The sequence below is a fragment of the Homo sapiens genome, chromosome 1 (genome assembly GCF_000001405.40).
Source record: "Homo sapiens chromosome 1, GRCh38.p14 Primary Assembly".
NCBI lineage: Eukaryota > Metazoa > Chordata > Mammalia > Primates > Hominidae > Homo > Homo sapiens.
Genome location: NC_000001.11, coordinates 120,936,230 through 120,948,470, shown reverse-complemented (window position 1 = coordinate 120,948,470; position 12,241 = coordinate 120,936,230). Strand labels below are relative to the sequence as shown.

The window sequence follows — 12,241 nt, the reverse complement described above, 5'->3', positions numbered from 1 at the left end:
TGGTTTATTATACAGCAGAAGTGTATCAAAAGGGTGATGGTAGTTGCAGGAAATAAATATATACCTTTAATTGTATATGCATAAACATCTTTGGAATGATACCTCCAAAATACAAATTCCCATATTGAAAGAGCACACTCAGTACCCAGCATGGTGGATGGAAATATATCATGAAGTTTCAAACTAATAGGAAGAGGTAGAAGATTCTATAGGCTTTTGGGAGGGGAGATGGGAGAAGAGTTTAAGGCAAATAACAAAGAATCAGAGCGGCATCCATCTTCTCTATGGTGCTGATGTGCTCCAGTGTATAACCATCAGGAACAAACCTATAGTCAAACCTGAGTATATTGGCTCATTGCAACACAGGAGACAGCAAACACTATGGGGAAATTGTGGGGCAATTCTTCCTTTGGGAATCTCGGTATTTTTATCTAGAAAGTGGGAGAAGTGGTTGCAAGACTAAACACATAATTGGTAAAGAATCAACAGTCAATACAAAAGTTAGCCAAGTATGGTTGGGCATGCCTGTAATCCCAGCTACTTGAGAGGCTGAGGGAAGAGAATCACTTGAACGCAGGAGGTGGAGGTTGCAGTGAGCTGAGATGACGCCCCTGCACTCCAGCCTGGGCAACAGAGACTGTCTCAAAAAAAAAAAAAAAAAAAAACTGGCCTGGTGCAGTGGCTCACGCCTATAATCCCAACACTTTGGGAAGCTGAGCGGGGCGGGGGTGGATCACAAGGTCAGGAGTTCCAGACCAGCCTGGCCAATATGGTGAAACCCAGTCTCTACTAAAAATACAAAAATTAGCTGGGTGTGGTGGCAGGTGCCTGTAGTCTCAGCTACTCGGAAGGTTGAGGCAGGAGAATTGCTTGAACCCAGGAGGCAGAGGTTGCAGTGAGCTGAGATTGTGCCACTGCACTCCAGCCTGGTGACAGAGCAAGACTCCATCACAAAAAAATAAAAAATAAAATCATTAACCGTCACTATTAGTAGCTGGGATGTTTGATCATATTATGGTTTGAACAGTGTTCTTTTTATGTTCAAATATGATTGTGAAATAGTATTTCTTTCAGTTTAGTGAGAGGGTAACTTTGTCTGATATTGGTGTTGTGAAATTTTTCGTTTTAACCATAGAACACCATGGCCTAGGTGTTTGTCAGACCAGCTCTAGCTCAGAGCAGAAAAGGCTTACCTTTTTCTTTCTCAGAAATGACTATGGAAAACAGTAAACAACAAGGGCCGGGAGCCATGGCTCAGGCCTGTAATCCCAGCACTTTGCAAAGCCAAGGGAGGCGGATCACTTGAGGTCAGGAGTTTGAAACTGTAGCAGGAGTCATAGACAAAATCCCTCAGACACCCGATTGTGGAATGTAAGAGCTTTTTTCAGCTGGGACCATCGGTAGACTCACATCCTAGAAACCGAGCTCCCCAAATAAGTAATTCTTGTCCCTTTTAAGGGCCCACAACTCTAAAGGGGCTGTGTTGGGGGGGTCATGATCAACTGAGCAAGCAAGGGGTACGTGACTGGGGGCTGCATGTACTGGTAATCAGAATGAAACAGGACAGAAAAGGGAATTTCATAATGCTTTTTTATACAATGTCTGGAATTTATAGACAGCACAATCGGTGAGGTCAGCGGTTGAATTTTAACAACCAGGCCCGAAATGTGGCACCCAGTTGTCTGAGCGTGATTTTCACTTCTGCCCATTCTTTCAACCTCCACTTTTTCAGCAAACAAGAAATTAAGTGTAAGACAATATGAGGAGTGGTCGCTCTCAAAACCAGCTTGGCCAACATGGTGAAACCCCATCTCTACTAAAAATAAAAAAATTAGCCGGACATGGTGGCAGGCACCTGTAGTCCCAGCTACTGGGGAGGCTGAGGCAGGAGAATCGCTTGAACCTGGGAGGTGGAGATTGAAAGTGAGCCAAGATCCCACCACCGCACTCCAGCCTGGGCGACAGAGCGAGGCGAGACTCTGTCACACACAAAAAAAGCAGTGCCTTCAAAAATCTCAGAGAGAAATTATTTCCACCTATCTTTTTGTATCTCTATCTAGTAAAATATCAATTAATTTTATGGGTATAAAAGACATTTTCAGACATGCAGTGTCTCAAAAAGTTTATTTCTAAGGTAACCACTTTATAGGAGGTTTTGGAGGATATGCATCATCAAAAGGAAGAAGTGAGTGAGGAATGAACCCCCTTGAGATCCATGAAGCAGGGGATCTAACAAGAGAGAGGCGATGGAAATCCCAAGATGGTGCAGTAAAGAGAGATATTATGATAACAGCTGTGGGATAAGCCTGAAGAGCAAGTCATCCAGAATGGAACATATAGAAATGTGCCAGGAAAAATTTCTTTCTTTCTTTCTTTTTTATTTTTTATTTATTTTTATTTTTTGAGAAGGAGTCTCGTTCTTTTGCCCAGGCTGGAGTGCAATGGCGTGATCTCGGCTCACTGCAACCTCTGCCTCCCGGGTTCAAGTGATTCTCCTGCCTCAGCTTCCCAAGTAGCTGGGAGTACAGGCGCCCGCCACCATGCCTGACTAATTTTTATATTTTTATTAAAGACGGAGTTTCACCACGCTGGCCAGGCTGGTCTCGAACTCCTGACCTCAGGTGATCCACCTGCCTGGGCCTCTCAAAGTGCTGGGATTACAGGCGTGAGCCACCGTGCCCGGCTGCTCTTTTTTATAGACGAAGAAATTGAGGTACAGAAAATCCAGTAACGTTTTAAAAGTCACGTCATGAATGAACCAAGATTTCAACCCAGAAATTGAGGCTTCACTACAAGTGAAGACTGGGGTTTTCTTGTTTTCAATTATTGGGAGTTTTGGATTTCCAGGAATGTGCAATTGTAAAAACCCAGCTTCAAGAGGTGATGAAATAGGTGCAGTGGCTCTGGCGTAAGCTCTGAAGCCCCAGGCTCAGGCTCTATTGAAAAATTACTTTTGCTGAAATATTCCTGTTTTTAGGAACTTCCATGGAACTTGAGCCTTCACGCAGCATATTTTGGCATCTGATTCAAAGCTAATAGAGGTCCGGAGGATTCCCAGGATTAAAGTCTTTAAACAGAAACTGTGAATCTTGCCTAAGCAAAAGGTGCCATCCCTGGATGGGCTTGCACCACCAACCTTTCAGTTAACAGTCAAACGCGCTAACCGATTGCGCCACAGAGACTCTAATGGCTTGTGTCTTAAACTCATTTGCTGATACCAGAAATGGCTTTTTAACCTCTGGCTGCAGATAATCTCATATATTTGATGCCTGTCCAATCCCGCGCACTCCAGAAACCCAGAATACGGGAGACAATGAAGCCAAGAGTCGAGTCTTTGGGCACTTTGGACGTTCTACCCGGGCAGAGTCAGCTGGGGGACTCCAACGGCCAAAGGGCCACCTGCTCCTCACCGTCTGCTCTTCACTGCTTCCCCCGCCTGCTCTTCACCCTCTCAAAAGTCGCTGGCCCCTCTACAGGTGACAACTGCAGCTTCTCCGGCGAAAGCCACTCGCTTTCCCATTCTTAGCCCCGCTCACACCTTGCGCTCACAGTCATTTCCGCCAGGCCTGGGCCAGCGGACGCGCGCGTGGGAAGGACCAGAACCCGTGGTGTCCTCACTGCGTCCCCCTCGGGCCCTCAGAGGTGGGATCCACAGGAAAGGGACCTGGAGTTTGCACAGGCTGCAGCCCTTCGCCCAGAGCCACCCTAGCACCTAGTAGGTGCCCAATAAATGCTCAGTGAAGGAAGGCATTCCACCGCAGGGTTTTAGGAGAACCATGAATTCCTGGATGAACATTAAGCGTTTAGTCCTACTAGGAAGTCTGGAATATAGAGACTTGAACTGTTTCTCAAAGGCAGCTGTTCTTGTATCCCCAGAGCCGGTTTAGAATCCAGCAAAGGCCCCTGCCCGGTGTATCCCACCTCTGGAGACCCGAGGATAGTGCGGTGGGGAGCACCGCGGGTTCTGGTCTTTCCCACGCTCACGTCCACTGGCCCAGGCCCAAAGGAAATGGCTGTGAGAGCAAGATGTGAAGATAGTTACAAATACCAGCTAGGGCCAGTGACAGTTGCAGAAATGAGGACTTGTAATAGTTAGGAGTATTTCTTCATTATTTTGAGATGAATACATTTGGTTATATATTAACCAATACTTTTCTTGAGAATTCTCATCTTCCATCATCCTCGCTATCATATTCATTAATAGTTAACTTTTAGAAATCTCAATATTTAGGTTACAGGATAGCAAATATGGAATGTGATCTAGCTAAAAAAGGAGTGAACATCATTCAAAGACAAATAAAAGACTTTATCCTGTTGGGGAAAGGGTTGGCATATTTTCACTGAATGAGAAAAAGTATGATTTTCCTATTGTCTTTATTTGAACCTTAAGTATGGCTTTACAAGGAGGAAAAAGGAGGAAGAAGAAGAGAAAGAAGAGGATGAGGAAGAGGAGGAAAAGAGAAGGAGGAGGAGGAAGGTGCACATTGATGCCACTTTGAGAAGAAGTGGACTGTGGTGGATTTGTAATGTATCAGTTTTGCCAAGCTGAATGCACATTTCCCAGATTTGCCATCTTTAGATAGCTCTAGGTTAGCCTGGGCAACAGGAGACACTTGGAAGATAGAATTCAAGTGGCTGTTACACGCTTTTGTATACTGGGAAGGGCGTTGTTACAGCTCAGGCATGATCTTCATCTTCCCTGACCCTTGGACTGGTGGGTGTTTTGCTTCTTGATCTAACATTAAGGTTAGAAGTTGCAGGATCCCAGCTGGGTTTTGTTACATCCAATCTGGTTTAAGTTCCCATATTATTAGGAAAGCTTTAGGGTGCTTCAGGAAAACGCTTTTCAAAAAATCAGATTTGGAAAATATCAAATGGAATTACAGGCAATAAGCATAACCCAGTGGAAACATGAATCAAACCCTCTAGAGCAGGGTTGTCTAAATTTTGGGTTCCTTGGGCCACACTGGGAAAAAAAAAAAAAGACATTTGTCTTGGGCCCAGCATAATATACACTAACTGCAACTGAACCGTGCGTGTAAAGCTTGTAAACAAAATCTGTCTGTAAAGTCTGTAAACAGGCCAGGCGCGGTGGCTCAGGCCTGTAATCCCAACATTTTGGGTGGCCGAGGCGGGCGGATAACTTGAGGTCAGGAGTTTAAGACCAGCCTGGCCAACATGGTAAAACCCTGTCTCTACCAAAAATTCAAAAAATTAGCCGGGCCTAATTTTTTAGTGGCCTGCGCTTGTAATCTCAGTTACTTAGGAGATCGAGTATTCTCTGGCTGAGGCAGGAGAATAGCTTGAAGGCAGGAGGCAGAGGTTGCAGTAAGCCGGGATCCCGCCATGCACTCCAGTGGACTGTTTGCTGTTAATAAATGTTTACAATGGGCTCCCGTAGGGAAAAGAAAAGCTTAGTTTTATTTCTATAGAACAAAAAAAAAAGTTAAGAGATTAGTAGAGACGGGTCCACCATATTTGACCACACTGACATCAAACTCCAGAGCTCGAGCGGTATTAACATAAAGTTATCAATGCATCTCACAGACTACTGAGATTACAAGCGTGAGAACCAACCACTACCTGGCAAAATCTTTACTTTGAAAGTAAGTTACAGATGGGAACAAAGACCTGTTTATTAGTTTATACTAACGCCTTGTATATGCTTCCACAGCAAACAAAATCCACTTTTAAAACGACAACAACCCAGGGAAAAACACAGACACAGTTCCCCACTGCCACAAATTATGTAATCAAGATTCCCACATTCGGGGAAATCACAGGGGTCAGCACATCCACAGTAAAACTGCTAAGCCTTGCTCTGGAAAAACCACCTTCGTGATCATAACATTTCTTCTGCCAGATAAACATAAGTATAAGCTCACGCCCCTCCGCCCCGCCGCAGCCTCATATGCCTCACCCTTTACACGCAAGGTCACTTGCGTCACGCGCATCCAGGAGCCATCCTAGCCCTAACACACAGCTGCGACTCTCCGGTCCGACCAGAGGTCCCAGACTTACTCCCACGGCACGGGAACTCTTTCGTGGCGAAGCAGCAGGTGGCGAAGCAGCAGCCCCTGCGCTGCCTCATCTACATAGAAATCGCCCTCTCCGTGATGTCACCGACAACGCCTTCTGGATCCCCGTCTGCTCTTCCGCCTCACCCAACGCCCCTCAGCGGAGCAACCAGCTGTCGGAGCCGGCGGGAGAAGTGACTTATGCCTGTCCCTTCTTTCTCTCCTGTCCCCGCCCCTCGTCTCCCGCAATGAAGCGAGTATTTAATCTGTGTCCTGTGGAAGTCCCATTTGGCGGCCAGCTGGAAGCCCGTGCACCCTTCTTCAAATAATGGCTTTCAATGAGCAGACTAGAACGTTTAGGATTACAAAGGAAACCGATTCCTTTCAAACTTGGTTATCTTTGTGATGTGGCACTGTGTGCATATCTTCGTTAAAACGCATTGAAGGCCACTGCACTCCACCCTGGGCGACAGGAGGTGACTGTGTCTCGAAAAAACCAAAAACACTCCCCCCTCACCCCAAAGCATTAGACGTCAAGGCTGGCAGGGATGTCTGTTCTCTTGAAAGTTCAATATCAAAATACTTGGAAATTAAACTAAAATAGTAGAAGCAAGAACAAAAATTAAGTTGAAGATAATATCAAGAATATTTCCCACAAACCAAAATAAGAATGTAAAAACAGGAGAGAAAAGTTCAGGAAGATAGACGTCCAAGGTCCATATGATTAGCATGCGTATCAGAAAGAGGATAGAAAAAAATCAGTACAATAATTCAAAACACTTTCCATACCAATGGATTGAAACTACAGTGAATTTAAAGTATTGAATTGATATTGAACTTTCAAGAGAACAGACTTCCCTGCCAGCCTTGATGTCTAATGCTTTGGGGTGAGGGGGGAGTGTTTTTGGTTTTTTTGAGACACAGTCACCTCTTGTCGCCCAGGGTGGAGTGCAGTGGCCTTCAATGCGTTTTAACGAAGATATGCACACAGTGCCACATCACAAAGATAACCAGGTTTGAAAGGAATCGGTTTCCTTTGCAATCCTAAATGTTCTAGTCTGCTCATTGAAAGCCATTATTTGAAGGAGGGTGCACGGGCTTCCAGCTGGCTGCCAAAGGGGACCTCCACAGGACACAGATTAAGTACCCGCTTCATTGCGGGAGATGAGGGGCGGGGACAGGAGGGAAAGAAGAGAGAGGCATAAGTCACTTCCCCGCTGGCTCTGGCAGAGGTTTGGTCCCCTGAGTGCTCCTTTCTTGTAAGCAGTTCTTGTTTCATATTTTCACTATCTCTGACACTATTAACTGTACAATTTTTTTTCTTCTGTACACAAAAAAAGTTTGTTTCAATAGTGAAGTATGAGTCAGGGTGGTGGCTCATGCCTATAATCCCAGCACTTTGGGAGGCCAAGGCGGGCAGTTCACCTGAGGTTAGGAGTTCAAGATCAGCCTGGCCAACATGGTGAAACCCTGTCTCTACTAAAAATACAAAAATTAGCCAGGTGTGGTGGTGGGCACCTGTAATCCCAGCTATTTGGGAGGCTGAGGCAGCAGAATTGCTTGAACGCAGGAGGCGGTGGTTGCAGTGAGCCGAGATTGCACCACTGCACTCCAGCCTGGGCAACAGAGCAAGACTCCATCTCAAAAAAAAAAAAAAAAAAAAGTGATGTATCTTCTACAGTATACTCTTCCAACTTATCAGATTCTGTCATTGACATACGATGTTGCATCAATACTTGTGTAAGGGGTTTAACACTACTACTATATATAATATATGTAATATATTTTATATATATATGTATATATATATATAACACTAAGGTTTATTAAAACAACTCTCAGTAAACAGATGCCCCTGATGTTCCAACAAAATAACCTACTATTATTAGAAACCAAATAAACTCCTCCTCCTATGAGGAAGAAAGTAAACAACTTCTGGCTTGGCGCGGTGGCTCACGCCTGTAATCCCAGCACTTTGGGAGGCTGAAGCGGGTGCTCATGATCACCTGAGTTTAGGAGTTCAAGACCAGCCTGGCCAACATGGTGAAACCCCGTCTCTATTAAAAATACAAAAATTACAGCGCGCCTATAATCCCAGCTACTCGGGAGGCTGAGGCAGGAGAATCACTTGAACCTGGGGGGCAGAGGTTGCAGTGAGCCGAGATCACCCCACTGCACTGCAGCCTGGGCAACAGAGCAAAACTCCGTCTAAAAAAAAAAAAAGTAAACAATTCTGGAACAGTTTGAAAAAGCAATTTAAGTGAAAATGAAACCAAAAAGGGTAAAAAGAAAAAGGAGGGAATTGTAGGAAATAACCTATATGTGATTATCTATTTTCAATTCTAAGTGGCTTGGTATAGGTTTAGGCAGGCTACCTGGAAAGAAAGAAATAAAGAAGCAGAATGTACTGAGCCACCCCCTCCACCTTCCTTCTTTCCCTTTCACCCAGTGGCCAGGCATCTATCGGTGGGGGCTCCCTCATCTACCCCTTCCCCACTCCACAAAGAAATTTAGTTTAAGCTAGCTTGCAACATAGATAATTGTACCCTTTCTTATCAGCTAAGTGCAGCCACTAGAGCTGTAAGTCAAATGTTTGAAAAATCCTGAGAGTCATAATGCATCGTGTGCTGCAATAAAATGCAGCAGAAAGACCCTAAAGAATGTACTTGAAGAACAATCAATAGGTGATGTCTAGGAAGATTGTGGAAGGCTAGTACTCAGCCTATGAGGAACTGAGGGAGGGACCTGTGCACTAGGGCGTAAATTGCTTGTTGAAACTGTGCTGGGTGTGCCTGCATGCCAGACACCCGATCTTGCAAGACCGTCATTAAAAGTCTCACTTTCGCTGTTCTCTGGGTCTCTGAGTTCATTGTTTGGGTTTAGATGGGTGAATTTGTTTCTCACAAATTTGATTGGATTGAAGGATGAGAGTATTGATCCTGGGCGTATCTGTGAGGGTGTTGCCAAAGGAGATTAACATTTGAGTCAATGGGCTGGGGAAAGCAGACCCACCCTAAATCTGGTGGGCACAATATAATCCACTGCCCATGAATATAAAGCAGGCAGAAAAACATGAAAAGGCAAGACTGGCCTATCCTGCCAGCCTACATCTTTCTCCTGTGCTGGATGCTTCCTGCCCTGGAACATCAGACTCCAAGTTCTTCAGTTTTGAGACTTGAACTGACTTTCCTGCTCCTTAAGCTTGCAGGCAGCCTATTGCGGGACATTGTGATTGTGTAAGTTAATACTTAATAAACTCCTGGCTGGGTGTGATGGTTCACACCTGTAATCCCAGCTCTCAGAGATGCAGAGGCGGGAGGATAGCTTGAGCCCAGGAGTTGGAGACCTGCCTGGGCAATATAGCAAGACCCTGTTTTCCACAAAAAGTAAGAAAAAAAAGTAAGTGTAATACTTAATAAACTCCTTTGTATATCTATCCTATTAATTCTGTCTCTCTAGAGAACCCTGACTAATACAGAGTCACATAAAAATATGAGCCTCAGGCCAGGCACAGTGGGTCACGCCTGTAATCCCAGCACTTTGGGAGGCCAAAGCGGGTGGATCCTGATCACCTGAGGTTAGGAGTTCGAGACCAGCCTGACCAACATGGAGAAACCCCGTCTCTACTAAAAATACACAATTAACCAGGTATGGTGGCACATGCCTGTAATCCCAGCTACTCCGAAGACTGAGGCAGGAGAATCACTTGAACCTGGCAGGCAGAGGTTGCGGTGAGCTGAGATCACGCCATTGCACTCCAGCCTGGGCAACAAAAGCAAAACTCTGTCTCAAAAAAAAAAAAAAAGCCTCAAAGAAGGCCGTATGGTTGAAGTTTATATGCAGCACATAAAGGACTAACTAGGCTTGGAGTTCTTAGGGGGTGGTGGCCACAGGTTATGGGAGGTTGAGGGGAGGAAAGACATGGTGAGCAAAGGCTGTGTTGTGATGCAGATGTGATGCAGATGAAGTCTCTCAAGAAGCAGCCCTCCACCAGATGTGGTGGCTCATGCCTGTAATCCCAGCACTTTGGGAGGCTGAGGTGGGCAGATTATTTGAGGTCAGGAGTTCAAGACCAGCCTGGCCAACATGGCAAACCCCATCTCTACTAAAAATACAGGCCGGGCTCGGTGGCTCATGCCTGTAATCCCAGCACTTTGGGAGGCCAAGGCAGGTGGATCATGAGGTCAAGAGATCAAGACCATCCTGGCTAACACAGTGAAACCCCGTCTCTACTAAAAATACAAAAAAATTAGCCAGGCGTGGTGGCGGGCACCTGTAGTCCCAGCTACTAGGGAGGCTGAGGCAGGAGAATGGCATGAACCTGGGAGGCAGAGTTTGCAGTGAGCTGAGATGGCACCACTGCACTCCAGCCTGGGCGAAAGAGCAAGACTCTGTCTAAAATAAATAAATAAATAAATAAGTAATAAATTAATTAATTAACCTGGTGTGGTGGTGGGCACCTGTAATCCCAGCTGCTCGGGAGGCTGAGGCATGAGAATGGCTTGAACCTGGGAGGCAGAGGTTGCAGTGAGCCAAGATTGCACCACTGCACACTCCAGCCTGGGTGTCAGAGTAAGACCCCGTTTCAAAAAAAAAAAGTTTCCTGTCAGACCTTTAAAAGCATGAGATCTTTTGTTTCCTTTTCCTGTGAGTTAATCTTACCTGGATCCAGATAAAGCAGATAAGAAGGTCTCAGAGAAAGCCATTTGCAGTTGATGTTTACTTCCTCTACACATGCTAATCTCCCTGACAAAAGGACAGCTTTTCATAGGTATTTCTGTGACTGTGTTGCCTATTGCACTGCCTACATGACTTACCTGGACCCCTACCCAGATGTTGTTGGCCATTGCAGTGCCTATGTGACATGGCTGAATTCTTACTCACCTTTAACTCTGCTTATTTTTAAGAAACAGGATGTCTGTGGTCAGAAGTTTCTTCTTGGGACTAAACCAGCTGAAGCTGGTGAAATCCATGATGGCAGCTTACGCAACCTCTGAAAAACATCTAGCTTTATTATAATCCAATTTCCATGCTAAATAGCACTCCCATCAGTGCATGACAGTTGACAATCACTGTGACAATGAACGGAAGAGACCAAGAAAGGACAGAAATGAGGTGACTCCTTGATTCTAGGAAAATCTCCATCCCTTACTAAGAAAAGCATGAATATTCCTCACCTTGCTCATTCCCTTCATTAAAGATCCTCTATATTTGTAACTTCCTGGTTCTCAGTAGCTGAGAAGGTGATTTGCAAGCTATACTACTTCTCCAATTCCATGCTATGCTCCTACTTCTCCAATGCCATTGAATAGAGCCTGCACTGCTTGACGCTCACTCTTGGTTTCATACATTGGCTTTGCAATAATAAACAGGAAAGAGTCCCTTTTTGGGGTGAGACCCCTCAGTAACATCTGCAGCCCCTCTAAATAGCCATCTCAAATTATACCAAAGGAGTGTATTTTGGGGTGGCATATTTTGGGCTTCCCACATGGCTAAGCCAACATATAGCATTCTTGCTGAACGCAGGGTGATCAGACATCACCTAGCAGATGGTGAAGGATGAGGAGCCCTATTAGATATTATGAGTGATCAGCTATTGAAGATGGGGAATTCTGGCTAAATTGACTGAGAAGGATTCTTGCTGAGATTGAACAATGCAGAGAGGAACACAGAAGCTCAATAGTTGAGGCCTAGTGAGAAGAGGACTCAGAAGAGCCTGATTAGTTTGGCCAAGGAGATGTCAACCTGAAATAAATGAAAGGTTCAGAATTCAGCGTTAAAATGTTTATTCATTCTGCTTGTGGGAACTAATGGTAAAAATTAAAAAAGAGTTTATTCAAACAAAAATCTGGGAATAGCCAATCAGGGCACACAGACTCCAGAGAAATGGGGTCAGTGCTGCAAAGTCAAAAGTGAAGTTCTTGCTTACATAGAAAGAAAAAAAATTAATAGGATCACAACATTTTCTATATAAGGCTGCTTTAAGAGTTACAACAAATTAATTAGTTGCAGAATTTTTTTTTTTTTTTTTTGTTATTGTTGTTGTTCTGAGATGGAGTCTCACTCTGTTGCTAAGGCTGGAGTGCAATGGCATGATCTTGGCTCACTGCAACCTCTGCCTCTTGGTTTCAAGTGATTCTCCTGTCTCAGCCTCCTGAATATCTGGGATTACAGGTGCCCACCACCATGCCCAGGTAATTTTTTGTATTTTTACTAGAGATGGG

General features: G+C 44.9%; 1 long non-coding RNA gene and 1 other non-coding gene across 5 annotated transcripts in view, besides 9 other annotated features; both read right to left on the bottom strand.

Annotated features, from left to right (window-relative positions):
- Window positions 1-12,241, bottom strand: part of LINC00623 (long intergenic non-protein coding RNA 623) — a 43,574-nt gene that overhangs the window by 7,341 nt on the left and 23,992 nt on the right. The gene's annotated exons all lie outside the window — the stretch shown is intronic.
- Window positions 5,240-5,943: an enhancer, noted in NCBI's record as "NANOG-H3K27ac-H3K4me1 hESC enhancer chr1:144310745-144311448 (GRCh37/hg19 assembly coordinates)". NCBI's record gives its function as "activates a minimal SCP1, AML or CMV promoter by ChIP-STARR-seq in primed H9 embryonic stem cells {active_cell/tissue: H9 hESC(primed)}" and the evidence as "EXISTENCE:reporter gene assay evidence [ECO:0000049][PMID:30033119]".
- On the bottom strand, window positions 5,708-5,871 carry RNVU1-4 (RNA, variant U1 small nuclear 4). The gene has a single exon (NR_104073.1). It is a non-coding gene; the product is annotated as an RNA, variant U1 small nuclear 4 (small nuclear RNA).
- Window positions 5,875-6,184: an enhancer, noted in NCBI's record as "active region_1604". NCBI's record gives its function as "activates an Ori minimal core promoter by ATAC-STARR-seq in GM12878 lymphoblastoid cells {active_cell/tissue: GM12878}" and the evidence as "EXISTENCE:reporter gene assay evidence [ECO:0000049][PMID:35858748]".
- Window positions 5,875-6,647: a biological region, named in NCBI's record as "NANOG-H3K27ac-H3K4me1 hESC enhancer GRCh37_chr1:144491667-144492381".
- Window positions 5,933-6,647: an enhancer, noted in NCBI's record as "NANOG-H3K27ac-H3K4me1 hESC enhancer chr1:144491667-144492381 (GRCh37/hg19 assembly coordinates)". NCBI's record gives its function as "activates a minimal SCP1, AML or CMV promoter by ChIP-STARR-seq in naive H9 embryonic stem cells {active_cell/tissue: H9 hESC(naive)}" and the evidence as "EXISTENCE:reporter gene assay evidence [ECO:0000049][PMID:30033119]".
- Window positions 7,662-8,162: an enhancer, noted in NCBI's record as "H3K27ac hESC enhancer chr1:144493398-144493898 (GRCh37/hg19 assembly coordinates)". NCBI's record gives its function as "activates a minimal SCP1, AML or CMV promoter by ChIP-STARR-seq in primed H9 embryonic stem cells {active_cell/tissue: H9 hESC(primed)}" and the evidence as "EXISTENCE:reporter gene assay evidence [ECO:0000049][PMID:30033119]".
- Window positions 8,163-8,663: an enhancer, noted in NCBI's record as "H3K27ac hESC enhancer chr1:144493899-144494399 (GRCh37/hg19 assembly coordinates)". NCBI's record gives its function as "activates a minimal SCP1, AML or CMV promoter by ChIP-STARR-seq in primed H9 embryonic stem cells {active_cell/tissue: H9 hESC(primed)}" and the evidence as "EXISTENCE:reporter gene assay evidence [ECO:0000049][PMID:30033119]".
- Window positions 9,155-9,770: an enhancer, noted in NCBI's record as "H3K27ac-H3K4me1 hESC enhancer chr1:149602005-149602632 (GRCh37/hg19 assembly coordinates)". NCBI's record gives its function as "activates a minimal SCP1, AML or CMV promoter by ChIP-STARR-seq in primed H9 embryonic stem cells {active_cell/tissue: H9 hESC(primed)}" and the evidence as "EXISTENCE:reporter gene assay evidence [ECO:0000049][PMID:30033119]".
- Window positions 9,771-10,399: an enhancer, noted in NCBI's record as "H3K4me1 hESC enhancer chr1:149601377-149602004 (GRCh37/hg19 assembly coordinates)". NCBI's record gives its function as "activates a minimal SCP1, AML or CMV promoter by ChIP-STARR-seq in primed H9 embryonic stem cells {active_cell/tissue: H9 hESC(primed)}" and the evidence as "EXISTENCE:reporter gene assay evidence [ECO:0000049][PMID:30033119]".
- Window positions 10,469-11,050: an enhancer, noted in NCBI's record as "OCT4-NANOG hESC enhancer chr1:144496218-144496799 (GRCh37/hg19 assembly coordinates)". NCBI's record gives its function as "activates a minimal SCP1, AML or CMV promoter by ChIP-STARR-seq in primed H9 embryonic stem cells {active_cell/tissue: H9 hESC(primed)}" and the evidence as "EXISTENCE:reporter gene assay evidence [ECO:0000049][PMID:30033119]".